The 17296-nt window shown below is 50.1% G+C and overlaps 1 protein-coding gene across 3 annotated transcripts, besides 2 other annotated features; it reads left to right on the plus strand.

The window, feature by feature from the left end:
* Positions 1338–2239: an enhancer, noted in NCBI's record as "H3K27ac-H3K4me1 hESC enhancer chr17:76210079-76210980 (GRCh37/hg19 assembly coordinates)". NCBI's record gives its function as "activates a minimal SCP1, AML or CMV promoter by ChIP-STARR-seq in naive H9 embryonic stem cells {active_cell/tissue: H9 hESC(naive)}" and the evidence as "EXISTENCE:reporter gene assay evidence [ECO:0000049][PMID:30033119]".
* BIRC5 (baculoviral IAP repeat containing 5) lies at positions 1593–12975 on the plus strand. Of its 3 annotated transcripts, NM_001012271.2 has the most exons (5): positions 1593–1767; positions 2020–2129; positions 3306–3374; positions 4004–4121; positions 10805–12975. In NM_001012271.2, exons 1-5 carry the CDS (start codon positions 1657–1659, stop codon positions 10892–10894), a joined length of 498 nt encoding a protein of 165 aa, NP_001012271.1. In that variant the 5' UTR covers positions 1593–1656; the 3' UTR covers positions 10895–12975. The 3 variants fall into 3 exon arrangements, with proteins under 3 accessions (NP_001012271.1, NP_001159.2, NP_001012270.1); NM_001168.3 differs by lacking the exon at positions 3306–3374; NM_001012270.2 differs by lacking the exons at positions 3306–3374; positions 4004–4121.
* Positions 16475–16675: a silencer, noted in NCBI's record as "peak3015 fragment used in MPRA reporter construct". NCBI's record gives its function as "represses an SCP1 promoter by STARR-seq MPRAs in K562 erythroleukemia cells {active_cell/tissue: K562}" and the evidence as "EXISTENCE:reporter gene assay evidence [ECO:0000049][PMID:32103011]".

Raw genomic sequence — 17296 nt, forward strand, 5'->3', positions numbered from 1 at the left:
AGGAAAACAGGAGACAGAGAGAGAGCGGGGAGTAGAGAGAGGGAAGGGGTAAGAGAGGGAGAGGAGGAGAGAAAGGGAGGAAGAAGCAGAGAGTGAATGTTAAAGGAAACAGGCAAAACATAAACAGAAAATCTGGGTGAAGGGTATATGAGTATTCTTTGTACTATTCTTGCAATTATCTTTTATTTAAATTGACATCGGGCCGGGCGCAGTGGCTCACATCTGTAATCCCAGCACTTTGGGAGGCCGAGGCAGGCAGATCACTTGAGGTCAGGAGTTTGAGACCAGCCTGGCAAACATGGTGAAACCCCATCTCTACTAAAAATACAAAAATTAGCCTGGTGTGGTGGTGCATGCCTTTAATCTCAGCTACTCGGGAGGCTGAGGCAGGAGAATCGCTTGAACCCGTGGCGGGGAGGAGGTTGCAGTGAGCTGAGATCATGCCACTGCACTCCAGCCTGGGCGATAGAGCGAGACTCAGTTTCAAATAAATAAATAAACATCAAAATAAAAAGTTACTGTATTAAAGAATGGGGGCGGGGTGGGAGGGGTGGGGAGAGGTTGCAAAAATAAATAAATAAATAAATAAACCCCAAAATGAAAAAGACAGTGGAGGCACCAGGCCTGCGTGGGGCTGGAGGGCTAATAAGGCCAGGCCTCTTATCTCTGGCCATAGAACCAGAGAAGTGAGTGGATGTGATGCCCAGCTCCAGAAGTGACTCCAGAACACCCTGTTCCAAAGCAGAGGACACACTGATTTTTTTTTTAATAGGCTGCAGGACTTACTGTTGGTGGGACGCCCTGCTTTGCGAAGGGAAAGGAGGAGTTTGCCCTGAGCACAGGCCCCCACCCTCCACTGGGCTTTCCCCAGCTCCCTTGTCTTCTTATCACGGTAGTGGCCCAGTCCCTGGCCCCTGACTCCAGAAGGTGGCCCTCCTGGAAACCCAGGTCGTGCAGTCAACGATGTACTCGCCGGGACAGCGATGTCTGCTGCACTCCATCCCTCCCCTGTTCATTTGTCCTTCATGCCCGTCTGGAGTAGATGCTTTTTGCAGAGGTGGCACCCTGTAAAGCTCTCCTGTCTGACTTTTTTTTTTTTTTTAGACTGAGTTTTGCTCTTGTTGCCTAGGCTGGAGTGCAATGGCACAATCTCAGCTCACTGCACCCTCTGCCTCCCGGGTTCAAGCGATTCTCCTGCCTCAGCCTCCCGAGTAGTTGGGATTACAGGCATGCACCACCACGCCCAGCTAATTTTTGTATTTTTAGTAGAGACAAGGTTTCACCGTGATGGCCAGGCTGGTCTTGAACTCCAGGACTCAAGTGATGCTCCTGCCTAGGCCTCTCAAAGTGTTGGGATTACAGGCGTGAGCCACTGCACCCGGCCTGCACGCGTTCTTTGAAAGCAGTCGAGGGGGCGCTAGGTGTGGGCAGGGACGAGCTGGCGCGGCGTCGCTGGGTGCACCGCGACCACGGGCAGAGCCACGCGGCGGGAGGACTACAACTCCCGGCACACCCCGCGCCGCCCCGCCTCTACTCCCAGAAGGCCGCGGGGGGTGGACCGCCTAAGAGGGCGTGCGCTCCCGACATGCCCCGCGGCGCGCCATTAACCGCCAGATTTGAATCGCGGGACCCGTTGGCAGAGGTGGCGGCGGCGGCATGGGTGCCCCGACGTTGCCCCCTGCCTGGCAGCCCTTTCTCAAGGACCACCGCATCTCTACATTCAAGAACTGGCCCTTCTTGGAGGGCTGCGCCTGCACCCCGGAGCGGGTGAGACTGCCCGGCCTCCTGGGGTCCCCCACGCCCGCCTTGCCCTGTCCCTAGCGAGGCCACTGTGACTGGGCCTCGGGGGTACAAGCCGCCCTCCCCTCCCCGTCCTGTCCCCAGCGAGGCCACTGTGGCTGGGCCCCTTGGGTCCAGGCCGGCCTCCCCTCCCTGCTTTGTCCCCATCGAGGCCTTTGTGGCTGGGCCTCGGGGTTCCGGGCTGCCACGTCCACTCACGAGCTGTGCTGTCCCTTGCAGATGGCCGAGGCTGGCTTCATCCACTGCCCCACTGAGAACGAGCCAGACTTGGCCCAGTGTTTCTTCTGCTTCAAGGAGCTGGAAGGCTGGGAGCCAGATGACGACCCCATGTAAGTCTTCTCTGGCCAGCCTCGATGGGCTTTGTTTTGAACTGAGTTGTCAAAAGATTTGAGTTGCAAAGACACTTAGTATGGGAGGGTTGCTTTCCACCCTCATTGCTTCTTAAACAGCTGTTGTGAACGGATACCTCTCTATATGCTGGTGCCTTGGTGATGCTTACAACCTAATTAAATCTCATTTGACCAAAATGCCTTGGGGTGGACGTAAGATGCCTGATGCCTTTCATGTTCAACAGAATACATCAGCAGACCCTGTTGTTGTGAACTCCCAGGAACGTCCAAGTGCTTTTTTTGAGATTTTTTAAAAAACAGTTTAATTGAAATATAACCTACACAGCACAAAAATTACCCTTTGAAAGTGTGCACTTCACACTTTCGGAGGCTGAGGCGGGCGGATCACCTGAGGTCAGGAGTTCAAGACCTGCCTGGCCAACTTGGCGAAACCCCGTCTCTACTAAAAATACAAAAATTAGCCGGGCATGGTAGCGCACGCCCGTAATCCCAGCTACTCGGGAGGCTAAGGCAGGAGAATCGCTTGAACCTGGGAGGCGGAGGTTGCAGTGAGCCGAGATTGTGCCAATGCACTCCAGCCTCGGCGACAGAGCGAGACTCCGTCATAAAAATAAAAAATTGAAAAAAAAAAAAGAAAGAAAGCATATACTTCAGTGTTGTTCTGGATTTTTTTCTTCAAGATGCCTAGTTAATGACAATGAAATTCTGTACTCGGATGGTATCTGTCTTTCCACACTGTAATGCCATATTCTTTTCTCACCTTTTTTTCTGTCGGATTCAGTTGCTTCCACAGCTTTAATTTTTTTCCCCTGGAGAATCACCCCAGTTGTTTTTCTTTTTGGCCAGAAGAGAGTAGCTGTTTTTTTTCTTAGTATGTTTGCTATGGTGGTTATACTGCATCCCCGTAATCACTGGGAAAAGATCAGTGGTATTCTTCTTGAAAATGAATAAGTGTTATGATATTTTCAGATTAGAGTTACAACTGGCTGTCTTTTTGGACTTTGTGTGGCCATGTTTTCATTGTAATGCAGTTCTGGTAACGGTGATAGTCAGTTATACAGGGAGACTCCCCTAGCAGAAAATGAGAGTGTGAGCTAGGGGGTCCCTTGGGGAACCCGGGGCAATAATGCCCTTCTCTGCCCTTAATCCTTACAGTGGGCCGGGCACGGTGGCTTACGCCTGTAATACCAGCACTTTGGGAGGCCGAGGCGGGCGGATCACGAGGTCAGGAGATCGAGACCATCTTGGCTAATACGGTGAAACCCCGTCTCCACTAAAAATACAAAAAATTAGCCGGGCGTGGTGGTGGGCGCCTGTAGTCCCAGCTACTCGGGAGGCTGAGGCAGGAGAATGGCGTGAACCCAGGAGGCGGAGCTTGCAGTGAGCCGAGATTGCACCACTGCACTCCAGCCTGGGCGACAGAATGAGACTCCGTCTCAAAAAAAAAAAAAAAAGAAAAAAATCTTTACAGTGGATTACATAACAATTCCAGTGAAATGAAATTACTTCAAACAGTTCCTTGAGAATGTTGGAGGGATTTGACATGTAATTCCTTTGGACATATACCATGTAACACTTTTCCAACTAATTGCTAAGGAAGTCCAGATAAAATAGATACATTAGCCACACAGATGTGGGGGGAGATGTCCACAGGGAGAGAGAAGGTGCTAAGAGGTGCCATATGGGAATGTGGCTTGGGCAAAGCACTGATGCCATCAACTTCAGACTTGACGTCTTACTCCTGAGGCAGAGCAGGGTGTGCCTGTGGAGGGCGTGGGGAGGTGGCCCGTGGGGAGTGGACTGCCGCTTTAATCCCTTCAGCTGCCTTTCCGCTGTTGTTTTGATTTTTCTAGAGAGGAACATAAAAAGCATTCGTCCGGTTGCGCTTTCCTTTCTGTCAAGAAGCAGTTTGAAGAATTAACCCTTGGTGAATTTTTGAAACTGGACAGAGAAAGAGCCAAGAACAAAATTGTATGTATTGGGAATAAGAACTGCTCAAACCCTGTTCAATGTCTTTAGCACTAAACTACCTAGTCCCTCAAAGGGACTCTGTGTTTTCCTCAGGAAGCATTTTTTTTTTTTTTCTGAGATAGAGTTTCACTCTTGTTGCCCAGGCTGGAGTGCAATGGTGCAATCTTGGCTCACTGCAACCTCTGCCTCTCGGGTTCAAGTGATTCTCCTGCCTCAGCCTCCCAAGTAACTGGGATTACAGGGAAGTGCCACCACACCCAGCTAATTTTTGTATTTTTAGTAGAGATGGGGTTTCACCACATTGCCCAGGCTGGTCTTGAACTCCTGACCTCGTGATTCGCCCACCTTGGCCTCCCAAAGTGCTGGGATTACAGGCGTGAACCACCACGCCTGGCTTTTTTTTTTTTGTTCTGAGACACAGTTTCACTCTGTTACCCAGGCTGGAGTGGGGTGGCCTGATCTCGGATCACTGCAACCTCCGCCTCCTGGGCTCAAGTGATTTGCCTGCTTCAGCCTCCCAAGTAGCCGAGATTACAGGCATGTGCCACCACACCCAGGTAATTTTTGTATTTTTGGTAGAGACGAGGTTTCACCATGTTGGCCAGGCTGGTCTTGAACTCCTGACCTCAGGTGATCCACCCGCCTCAGCCTCCCAAAGTGCTGAGATTATAGGTGTGAGCCACCACACCTGGCCTCAGGAAGTATTTTTATTTTTAAATTTATTTATTTATTTGAGATGGAGTCTTGCTCTGTCGCCCAGGCTAGAGTGCAGCGACGGGATCTCGGCTCACTGCAAGCTCCGCCCCCCAGGTTCAAGCCATTCTCCTGCCTCAGCCTCCCGAGTAGCTGGGACTACAGGCGCCCGCCACCACACCCGGCTAATTTTTTTGTATTTTTAGTAGAGACGGGTTTTCACCGTGTTAGCCAGGAGGGTCTCGATCTCCTGACCTCGTGATCTGCCTGCCTCGGCCTCCCAAAGTGCTGGGATTACAGGTGTGAGCCACCACACCCGGCTATTTTTATTTTTTTGAGACAGGGACTCACTCTGTCACCTGGGCTGCAGTGCAGTGGTACACCATAGCTCACTGCAGCCTCGAACTCCTGAGCTCAAGTGATCCTCCCACCTCATCCTCCCAAGTAATTGGGACTACAGGCGCACCCCACCATGCCCACCTTATTTATTTATTTATTTATTTATTTATTTATTTTCATAGAGATGAGGGTTCCCTGTGTTGTCCAGGCTGGTCTTGAACTCCTGAGCTCAAGGGATCCTTTTGCCTGGGCCTCCCAAAGTGCTGAGATTACAGGCATGAGCCACCGTGCCCAGCTAGGAATCATTTTTAAAGCCCCTAGGATGTCTGTGTGATTTTAAAGCTCCTGGAGTGTGGCCGGTATAAGTATATACCGGTATAAGTAAATCCCACATTTTGTGTCAGTATTTACTAGAAACTTAGTCATTTATCTGAAGTTGAAATGTAACTGGGCTTTATTTATTTATTTATTTATTTATTTATTTTTAATTTTTTTTTTTGAGACGAGTCTCACTTTGTCACCCAGGCTGGAGTGCAGTGGCACGATCTCGGCTCACTGCAACCTCTGCCTCCCGGGGTCAAGCGATTCTCCTGCCTTAGCCTCCCGAGTAGCTGGGACTACAGGCACGCACCACCATGCCTGGCTAATTTTTGTATTTTTAGTAGACGGGGTTTCACCATGCTGGCCAAGCTGGTCTCAAACTCCTGACCTTGTGATCTGCCCGCTTTAGCCTCCCAGAGTGCTGGGATTACAGGCATGAGCCACCATGCGTGGTCTTTTTAAAATTTTTTGATTTTTTTTTTTTTTGAGACAGAGCCTTGCTCTGTCGCCCAGGCTGGAGTGCAGTGGCACGATCTCAGCTCACTACAAGCTCCGCCTCCCGGGTTCACGCCATTCTTCTGCCTCAGCCTCCTGAGTAGCTGGGACTACAGGTGCCCACCACCACGCCTGGCTAATTTTTTTTGGTATTTTTATTAGAGACAAGGTTTCATCATGTTGGCCAGGCTGGTCTCAAACTCCTGACCTCAAGTGATCTGCCTGCCTCGGCCTCCCAAAGCGCTGAGATTACAGGTGTGATCTACTGCACCAGGCCTGGGCGTCATATATTCTTATTTGCTAAGTCTGGCAGCCCCACACAGAATAAGTACTGGGGGATTCCATATCCTTGTAGCAAAGCCCTGGGTGGAGAGTCAGGAGATGTTGTAGTTCTGTCTCTGCCACTTGCAGACTTTGAGTTTAAGCCAGTCGTGCTCATGCTTTCCTTGCTAAATAGAGGTTAGACCCCCTATCCCATGGTTTCTCAGGTTGCTTTTCAGCTTGAAAATTGTATTCCTTTGTAGAGATCAGCGTAAAATAATTCTGTCCTTATATGTGGCTTTATTTTAATTTGAGACAGAGTGTCACTCAGTCGCCCAGGCTGGAGTGTGGTGGTGCGATCTTGGCTCACTGCGACCTCCACCTCCCAGGTTCAAGCGATTCTCGTGCCTCAGGCTCCCAAGTAGCTGAGATTATAGGTGTGTGCCACCAGGCCCAGCTAACTTTTGTATTTTTAGTAGAGACAGGGTTTTGCCATGTTGGCTAAGCTGGTCTCGAACTCCTGGCCTCAAGTGATCTGCCCGCCTTGGCATCCCAAAGTGCTGGGATTACAGGTGTGAACCACCACACCTGGCCTCAATATAGTGGCTTTTAAGTGCTAAGGACTGAGATTGTGTTTTGTCAGGAAGAGGCCAGTTGTGGGTGAAGCATGCTGTGAGAGAGCTTGTCACCTGGTTGAGGTTGTGGGAGCTGCAGCGTGGGAACTGGAAAGTGGGCTGGGGATCATCTTTTTCCAGGTCAGGGGTCAGCCAGCTTTTCTGCAGCGTGCCATAGACCATCTCTTAGCCCTCGTGGGTCAGAGTCTCTGTTGCATATTGTCTTTTGTTGTTTTTCACAACCTTTTAGAAACATAAAAAGCATTCTTAGCCCGTGGGCTGGACAAAAAAAGGCCATGACGGGCTGTATGGATTTGGCCCAGCAGGCCCTTGCTTGCCAAGCCCTGTTTTAGACAAGGAGCAGCTTGTGTGCCTGGAACCATCATGGGCACAGGGGAGGAGCAGAGTGGATGTGGAGGTGTGAGCTGGAAACCAGGTCCCAGAGCGCTGAGAAAGACAGAGGGTTTTTGCCCTTGCAAATAGAGCAACTGAAATCTGACACCATCCAGTTCCAGAAAGCCCTGAAGTGCTGGTGGACGCTGCGGGGTGCTCCGCTCTAGGGTTACAGGGATGAAGATGCAGTCTGGTAGGGGGAGTCCACTCACCTGTTGGAAGATGTGATTAAGAAAAGTAGACTTTCAGGGCCGGGCATGGTGGCTCACGCCTGTAATCCCAGCACTTTGGGAGGCCGAGGCGGGTGGATCACGAGGTCAGGAGATCGAGACCATCCTGGCTAACATGGTGAAACCCCGTCTTTACTAAAAATACAAAAAATTAGCTGGGCGTGGTGGCGGGCGCCTGTAGTCCCAGCTACTCGGGAGGCTGAGGCAGGAGAATGGCGTGAACCTGGGAGGTGGAGCTTGCAGTGAGCCGAGATCGCGCCACTGCACTCCAGCCTGGGCGACAGAGCGAGACTCCGTCTCAAAAAAAAAAAAAAAAAGTAGGCTTTCATGATGTGTGAGCTGAAGGCGCAGTAGGCAGAAGTAGAGGCCTCAGTCCCTGCAGGAGACCTCTCGGTCTCTATCTCCTGATAGTCAGACCCAGCCACACTGGAAAGAGGGGAGACATTACAGCCTGCAAGAAAAGTAGGGAGATTTAAAAACTGCTTGGCTTTTATTTTGAACTGTTTTTTTTGTTTGTTTGTTTTCCCCAATTCAGAATACAGAATACTTTTATGGATTTGTTTTTATTACTTTAATTTTGAAACAATATAATCTTTTTTTTGTTGTTTTTTTGAGACGGGGTCTTACTCTGTCACCCAGGCTGAGTGCAGTGGTGTGATCTTGGCTCACCTCAGCCTCGACCCCCTGGGCTCAAATGATTCTCCCACCTCAGCTTCCCAAGTAGCTGGGACCACAGGTGCGTGTGTTGCGCTATACAAATCCTGAAGACAAGGATGCTGTTGCTGGTGATGCTGGGGATTCCCAAGATCCCAGATTTGATGGCAGGATGCCCCTGTCTGCTGCCTTGCCAGGGTGCCAGGAGGGCGCTGCTGTGGAAGCTGAGGCCCGGCCATCCAGGGCGATGCATTGGGCGCTGATTCTTGTTCCTGCTGCTGCCTCGGTGCTTAGCTTTTGAAACAATGAAATAAATTAGAACCAGTGTGAAAATCGATCAGGAAATAAATTTAATGTGGAAATAAACTGAACAACTTAGTTCTTCATAAGAGTTTACTTGGTAAATACTTGTGATGAGGACAAAACGAAGCACTAGAAGGAGAGGCGAGTTGTAGACCTGGGTGGCAGGAGTGTTTTGTTTGTTTTCTTTGGCAGGGTCTTGCTCTGTTGCTCAGGCTGGAGTACAGTGGCGCAATCACAGCTCACTATAGCCTCGACCTCCTGGACTCAAGCAATCCTCCTGCCTCAGCCTCCCAGTAGCTGGGACTACAGGCGCATGCCACCATGCCTGGCTAATTTTAAATTTTTTTTTTTCTCTTTTTTGAGATGGAATCTCACTCTGTCGCCCAGGCTGGAGTGCAGTGGCGTGATCTCGGCTGACGGCAAGCTCCGCCTCCCAGGTTCACTCCATTCGCCTGCCTCAGCCTCCCAAGTAGCTGGGACTACAGGCGCTGGGATTACAAACCCAAACCCAAAGTGCTGGGATTACAGGCGTGAGCCACCGCACCCGGCCTGTTTTGTCTTTCAATAGCAAGAGTTGTGTTTGCTTCGCCCCTACCTTTAGTGGAAAAATGTATAAAATGGAGATATTGACCTCCACATTGGGGTGGTTAAATTATAGCATGTATGCAAAGGAGCTTCGCTAATTTAAGGCTTTTTTGAAAGAGAAGAAACTGAATAATCCATGTGTGTATATATATTTTAAAAGCCATGGTCATCTTTCCATATCAGTAAAGCTGAGGCTCCCTGGGACTGCAGAGTTGTCCATCACAGTCCATTATAAGTGCGCTGCTGGGCCAGGTGCAGTGGCTTGTGCCTGAATCCCAGCACTTTGGGAGGCCAAGGCAGGAGGATTCATTGAGCCCAGGAGTTTTGAGGCGAGCCTGGGCAATGTGGCCAGACCTCATCTCTTCAAAAAATACACAAAAAATTAGCCAGGCATGGTGGCACGTGCCTGTAGTCTCAGCTACTCAGGAGGCTGAGGTGGGAGGATCACTTTGAGCCTTGCAGGTCAAAGCTGCAGTAAGCCATGATCTTGCCACTGCATTCCAGCCTGGATGACAGAGCGAGACCCTGTCTCTAAAAAAAAAAAAACCAAACGGTGCACTGTTTTCTTTTTTCTTATCAATTTATTATTTTTAAATTAAATTTTCTTTTAATAATTTATAAATTATAAATTTATATTAAAAAATGACAAATTTTTATTACTTATACATGAGGTAAAACTTAGGATATATAAAGTACATATTGAAAAGTAATTTTTTGGCTGGCACAGTGGCTCACACCTGTAATCCCAGCACTTTGGGAGGCCGTGGCGGGCAGATCACATGAGATCATGAGTTCGAGACCAACCTGACCAACATGGAGAGACCCCATCTCTACTAAAAATACAAAATTAGCCGGGGTGGTGGCGCATGCCTGTAATCCCAGCTACTCGGGAGGCTGAGGCAGGAGAATCTCTTGAACCCGGGAGGCAGAGGTTGCGGTGAGCCAAGATCGTGCCTTTGCACACCAGCCAAGGCAACAAGAGCGAAAGTCCGTCTCAAAAAAAAAGTAATTTTTTTTAAGTTAACCTCTGTCAGCAAACAAATTTAACCCAATAAAGGTCTTTGTTTTTTAATGTAGTAGAGGAGTTAGGGTTTATAAAAAATATGGTAGGGAAGGGGGTCCCTGGATTTGCTAATGTGATTGTCATTTGCCCCTTAGGAGAGAGCTCTGTTAGCAGAATGAAAAAATTGGAAGCCAGATTCAGGGAGGGACTGGAAGCAAAAGAATTTCTGTTCGAGGAAGAGCCTGATGTTTGCCAGGGTCTGTTTAACTGGACATGAAGAGGAAGGCTCTGGACTTTCCTCCAGGAGTTTCAGGAGAAAGGTAGGGCAGTGGTTAAGAGCAGAGCTCTGCCTAGACTAGCTGGGGTGCCTAGACTAGCTGGGGTGCCCAGACTAGCTGGGGTGCCTAGACTAGCTGGGTACTTTGAGTGGCTCCTTCAGCCTGGACCTCGGTTTCCTCACCTGTATAGTAGAGATATGGGAGCACCCAGCGCAGGATCACTGTGAACATAAATCAGTTAATGGAGGAAGCAGGTAGAGTGGTGCTGGGTGCATACCAAGCACTCCGTCAGTGTTTCCTGTTATTCGATGATTAGGAGGCAGCTTAAACTAGAGGGAGTTGAGCTGAATCAGGATGTTTGTCCCAGGTAGCTGGGAATCTGCCTAGCCCAGTGCCCAGTTTATTTAGGTGCTCTCTCAGTGTTCCCTGATTGTTTTTTCCTTTGTCATCTTATCTACAGGATGTGACTGGGAAGCTCTGGTTTCAGTGTCATGTGTCTATTCTTTATTTCCAGGCAAAGGAAACCAACAATAAGAAGAAAGAATTTGAGGAAACTGCGGAGAAAGTGCGCCGTGCCATCGAGCAGCTGGCTGCCATGGATTGAGGCCTCTGGCCGGAGCTGCCTGGTCCCAGAGTGGCTGCACCACTTCCAGGGTTTATTCCCTGGTGCCACCAGCCTTCCTGTGGGCCCCTTAGCAATGTCTTAGGAAAGGAGATCAACATTTTCAAATTAGATGTTTCAACTGTGCTCTTGTTTTGTCTTGAAAGTGGCACCAGAGGTGCTTCTGCCTGTGCAGCGGGTGCTGCTGGTAACAGTGGCTGCTTCTCTCTCTCTCTCTCTTTTTTGGGGGCTCATTTTTGCTGTTTTGATTCCCGGGCTTACCAGGTGAGAAGTGAGGGAGGAAGAAGGCAGTGTCCCTTTTGCTAGAGCTGACAGCTTTGTTCGCGTGGGCAGAGCCTTCCACAGTGAATGTGTCTGGACCTCATGTTGTTGAGGCTGTCACAGTCCTGAGTGTGGACTTGGCAGGTGCCTGTTGAATCTGAGCTGCAGGTTCCTTATCTGTCACACCTGTGCCTCCTCAGAGGACAGTTTTTTTGTTGTTGTGTTTTTTTGTTTTTTTTTTTTTGGTAGATGCATGACTTGTGTGTGATGAGAGAATGGAGACAGAGTCCCTGGCTCCTCTACTGTTTAACAACATGGCTTTCTTATTTTGTTTGAATTGTTAATTCACAGAATAGCACAAACTACAATTAAAACTAAGCACAAAGCCATTCTAAGTCATTGGGGAAACGGGGTGAACTTCAGGTGGATGAGGAGACAGAATAGAGTGATAGGAAGCGTCTGGCAGATACTCCTTTTGCCACTGCTGTGTGATTAGACAGGCCCAGTGAGCCGCGGGGCACATGCTGGCCGCTCCTCCCTCAGAAAAAGGCAGTGGCCTAAATCCTTTTTAAATGACTTGGCTCGATGCTGTGGGGGACTGGCTGGGCTGCTGCAGGCCGTGTGTCTGTCAGCCCAACCTTCACATCTGTCACGTTCTCCACACGGGGGAGAGACGCAGTCCGCCCAGGTCCCCGCTTTCTTTGGAGGCAGCAGCTCCCGCAGGGCTGAAGTCTGGCGTAAGATGATGGATTTGATTCGCCCTCCTCCCTGTCATAGAGCTGCAGGGTGGATTGTTACAGCTTCGCTGGAAACCTCTGGAGGTCATCTCGGCTGTTCCTGAGAAATAAAAAGCCTGTCATTTCAAACACTGCTGTGGACCCTACTGGGTTTTTAAAATATTGTCAGTTTTTCATCGTCGTCCCTAGCCTGCCAACAGCCATCTGCCCAGACAGCCGCAGTGAGGATGAGCGTCCTGGCAGAGACGCAGTTGTCTCTGGGCGCTTGCCAGAGCCACGAACCCCAGACCTGTTTGTATCATCCGGGCTCCTTCCGGGCAGAAACAACTGAAAATGCACTTCAGACCCACTTATTTCTGCCACATCTGAGTCGGCCTGAGATAGACTTTTCCCTCTAAACTGGGAGAATATCACAGTGGTTTTTGTTAGCAGAAAATGCACTCCAGCCTCTGTACTCATCTAAGCTGCTTATTTTTGATATTTGTGTCAGTCTGTAAATGGATACTTCACTTTAATAACTGTTGCTTAGTAATTGGCTTTGTAGAGAAGCTGGAAAAAAATGGTTTTGTCTTCAACTCCTTTGCATGCCAGGCGGTGATGTGGATCTCGGCTTCTGTGAGCCTGTGCTGTGGGCAGGGCTGAGCTGGAGCCGCCCCTCTCAGCCCGCCTGCCACGGCCTTTCCTTAAAGGCCATCCTTAAAACCAGACCCTCATGGCTACCAGCACCTGAAAGCTTCCTCGACATCTGTTAATAAAGCCGTAGGCCCTTGTCTAAGTGCAACCGCCTAGACTTTCTTTCAGATACATGTCCACATGTCCATTTTTCAGGTTCTCTAAGTTGGAGTGGAGTCTGGGAAGGGTTGTGAATGAGGCTTCTGGGCTATGGGTGAGGTTCCAATGGCAGGTTAGAGCCCCTCGGGCCAACTGCCATCCTGGAAAGTAGAGACAGCAGTGCCCGCTGCCCAGAAGAGACCAGCAAGCCAAACTGGAGCCCCCATTGCAGGCTGTCGCCATGTGGAAAGAGTAACTCACAATTGCCAATAAAGTCTCATGTGGTTTTATCTACTTTTTTTTTCTTTTTCTTTTTTTTTGAGACAAGGCCTTGCCCTCCCAGGCTGGAGTGCAGTGGAATGACCACAGCTCACCGCAACCTCAAATTCTTGCGTTCAAGTGAACCTCCCACTTTAGCCTCCCAAGTAGCTGGGACTACAGGCGCACGCCATCACACCCGGCTAATTGAAAAATTTTTTTTTTTGTTTAGATGGAATCTCACTTTGTTGCCCAGGCTGGTCTCAAACTCCTGGGCTCAAGTGATCATCCTGCTTCAGCGTCCGACTTGTTGGTATTATAGGCGTGAGCCACTGGGCCTGACCTAGCTACCATTTTTTAATGCAGAAATGAAGACTTGTAGAAATGAAATAACTTGTCCAGGATAGTCGAATAAGTAACTTTTAGAGCTGGGATTTGAACCCAGGCAATCTGGCTCCAGAGCTGGGCCCTCACTGCTGAAGGACACTGTCAGCTTGGGAGGGTGGCTATGGTCGGCTGTCTGATTCTAGGGAGTGAGGGCTGTCTTTAAAGCACCCCATTCCATTTTCAGACAGCTTTGTCAGAAAGGCTGTCATATGGAGCTGACACCTGCCTCCCCAAGGCTTTCATAGATCCTCTCTGTACATTGTAACCTTTTATTTTGAAATGAAAATTCACAGGAAGTTGTAAGGCTAGTACAGGGGATCCCGCATACCGTTCTCCTCCTTTTCCCCGTTGTGAGGACAGTGCACTGTATTCACTTTCAACATCCAAGGTCTGTGTTGAGAGGGTGAGTTGTGCGGCCCAGCTTGCCCCAAGCCCGTCTTGCCATCACGAAGGATTTCCTGACTCAGCTGAATCTAGCTCAACAAAGCAAAGGACTAACTAAGCTGCAGATTTTCTCTCCGCTGGGCTTAGCCTACATTATTTACACCTGTTTTCAGCTGGATGGGACCAAACTGGGGCCTTGACTTCTGGGGTTTCCACGTGATCCCCAAAGAGGAGACATCCATTCATTCACTCAGGTATTTGCTTGTGCACCTACTGTGCGCCAGGTGCCAGATCCAGGAATTGAAGCCCAGGAACAACTCTTGCAGTGAGCTCCCCGGGTTTTTGTTTTCTGAACGGTGGGAAGACAGGTCAGCAAATAGCCATGCACGTCTGCACATGTGTGGCTGGTGTCTGCAGGAGTACCGAGAAGACGGTGAGCTCTGCCCTGGATGGCAACAGGAAAGGGCATCCCTGTGCAGCTGTTTGTCCTGGCACAGGTGGCAGGCTGCCAGCGGGACCAGGAAGGGAAGGGGAGGATGCACAGGTCGGAGGGAACGGAACGGGCACTGCAGGTGCGCTCTGCGATGTGAGGAAGGAAGCAAAGGCTGGTTCCGGGATGATGTCGGAGAAGCCTTGCAGCCTAGGGCACTGCCCATTCCACGTTACCCAGTGAGTCAAAGCCTCCCAGAAAGACATTTAGTCACTCAAAGCCAGTGCAGGTCTCAGCTTTGTCCGGGGAGGAACTTTCACTCTAGAAAACACGAACTCATTTCCCTTTGAGGAAGTTGTTTCTCCAGGATATCATTTCCAGCCACCATCCAGGATGCTGGGCAGGTGCTGCAGTGCCCAAGGCACGGCTGCCGAAGAAGCTTGTCCCTTAGAAACCCCTTGTGGCCTCGGAGGCGCCTGCCTGCCTCCCTGAGAATGGAACCCTGTTGGGCCGCCAGGCTCGCTGGGCAGGTGCTGGGGAAGGCTGGGTCACCGTGCTGAGCCCCTCACAGGCCTGGGAGTTGTGCTTGGGGAGGAGAGCTCCCAGCTCTTTGGCTGCCTCCCAATCATGGCCACATCTCACAAACAATACCACTGTCCACGAAAAATGAAAAGGTGCCTGGTTCTAACCCATGGCCCCAACCATGAAAGAGCCCTTAGAATGTGGGGGTTTGACTCGAACAGTGGCTTTGAGTCTCCCAGGGGGGATTAGTGTCCTAATGCCCTGAGTTAATGAATTGACTTGTTGGACAGGGAAACTCAGTGAGGTTCATTTTCTGTGGGGGGACGTTTGTCAAATGCTGTGAAATCAGTTGTAGCATACGCGACGCTCAGCTGCTCCGACAGTGACTCAGCCACGGCTCCAGCTGCTTCCCCAGCCCTGTAGTGGAGGTGGCAGATGGTGTCATCAGCCTGGCGCAGAGGGCTGTGCCCACTGGCATCACAAGGGCCAGGCCTGCTGGTCCTCCAGCCACTGGATCCAGGTAGTTACATATGGGTTTAAAAGAAGAGAGGCAGGGCCAGTTGCGGTGGCTCATGCCTGTAATCCCAGCACTTTGGGAAGCCGAGGTGGGTGATCATTTGAGGTTAGGAGTTCAAGATCAGCCTGACCAACATGGCGAAACCCAGCCTCCACTAAAAATACAAAAAAATTAGCTGGGCATAGTGCTGGGTGCCTGTAGTCCCAGCTACTCAGGAGGCTGAGGCAGGAGAATTGCTTGAACCCGGAAGGCAGAGGTTGCAATGAGTCAGGATCATGCCACTGCACTCCAGCCTGGGCAACAGAACGAGACTCTAAAAAAAAAAGATCAATAAATAAAATAAAAATAAGAGAGGCAGGGTGGGAATATTACTTGAGGCCAGGAGTTTGAGACCAGCCTGGGTAACAAAGCAAGACCCTGTCTCTACCAAAATAATAATTTAAAAAATTACCCGGGAATGGTGTGACATGCCTGTGGTCCCAGCTACTCTGGAGGCTGAGGTGGGAGGAACACTCGCACATAGGAAGTTGAGGCTGCAGTGAGCCGTGATCACACCACTGCACCACTCTAGCCTGGGTGACAGAGCAAGACCTCATCTCTGGGGAAAAAAAAAAAAAGAAGAGGCTTGGAAGCCACATTGTTTTTTGTCACTTATAACTAGAGTTTCGTCCATCAAAAGCCCATTCTGCACTGATTTCAGTGATAGGGGTCTGATGCTGGCTTGGAAGAGGGCCTGACAGCTTAGAGACAGGCTTGGAGTTCCAAGTTGATGAAAGAACGATGAATAATGAAAAATAATGTGTTGTTCTAAAGTAGTGCCTTTTCATACTGAGCTAGGGTATAATTTGGGTCCATTTCAAGGGAAATATACTAGCAGAATTCATCAAAGTAGCCCCTCGAAGACTGGTGCCTGCTGCCTACGGGACAATTTAATCAGTGGTTCCAGCTGCACATCTAGAGTTGGGAACACTGAACCCAGGCTTTCTCATGCAGATGGGGTGTGGATTGCTAAGGTGGCTGTCTCCTAGCGCTGCAGCATGAGTGAAACACGTGTCCATTCTACAGAGACGCGGCTCCGTGATGCTGAAACCTCCTTCTTTTTTTTTTTTTTTGAGACGGAGTCTTGCTCTGTCGCCCAGGCTGGAGTGCAGTGGCGATATCTTGGCTCACTGCAACCTCCGCCTCCTGGGTTCATGCAATTCTCCTCCCTCAGCCTCCTGAGTAGCTGGGACTACAGGCGCGTGCCACCATGCCTGGCTAATTTTTGTATTTTTAGTAGAGACAGGGTTTCACCGTGTTAGCCAGGATGGTCTCGATCTCCTGACCTCGTGATCTGCCTGCCTCGGCCTCCCAAAGTGCCGGGATTACAGGCGTGAGCCACTGCACCCCGCTGAAACCTCCTTCTAGATAACAGCGGCGTTAAGCATTTTTTTTTTTTTTTGAGATAGAGTGTTGCTCTGTTGCCCAGGCTGGAGTGCAGTGATGCGATCTCGGCTCACTGCAACCTCCACCTCCCAGGTTCAAGCAATTCTTCTGCCTCAGCCTCCCGAGTAGCTGGGACTACAGGCACACGCCACCAGGCCCAGCTAATTTTTGTATTTTTAGTAGAGACGGGGTTTCAGTATATTGGCCAGGCTGGTCTCGAACTCCTGACCTCATGATCCACCCGTCTCAGCCTCCCAAAGTGCTGGGATTACAGGCGTGAGCCACTGCACCTGGCCAAAACCTCCTCCTAGATAACAGTGGCGTTAAGCATTTTTTTTTTTTTTGAGATGGAGTCTTGCTCTGTTGCCCAGGCTGGAGTGCAGTGGTGTGATCTCAGTTCACTGCAACCTCTGCCTCCCGGGTTCAAGTGATTCTTCTGCCTCAGGCTCCTGAGTAGCTGGGATAACAGGCATGAGCCACCACTCCCAGCTAATTTTTGTATTTTTAGTAGAGACAGGGTTTTGCCATGTTGGCCAGGCTGGTCTGGAACTCCTGACCTCAAGTGATCCTCCCACCTCGGCCTCCCAAAGTGCTGAGATTACAGGCGTGAGCCACTGCACCTGGCCTTTTTTTGTTTTTTAAGACAGGGTCTCACTCTGTTGATCACAGCCACAGCTCACTGCAGCCTCAAC

Source organism: Homo sapiens, chromosome 17, assembly GCF_000001405.40.
Source record: "Homo sapiens chromosome 17, GRCh38.p14 Primary Assembly".
Classification (NCBI taxonomy): domain Eukaryota; kingdom Metazoa; phylum Chordata; class Mammalia; order Primates; family Hominidae; genus Homo; species Homo sapiens.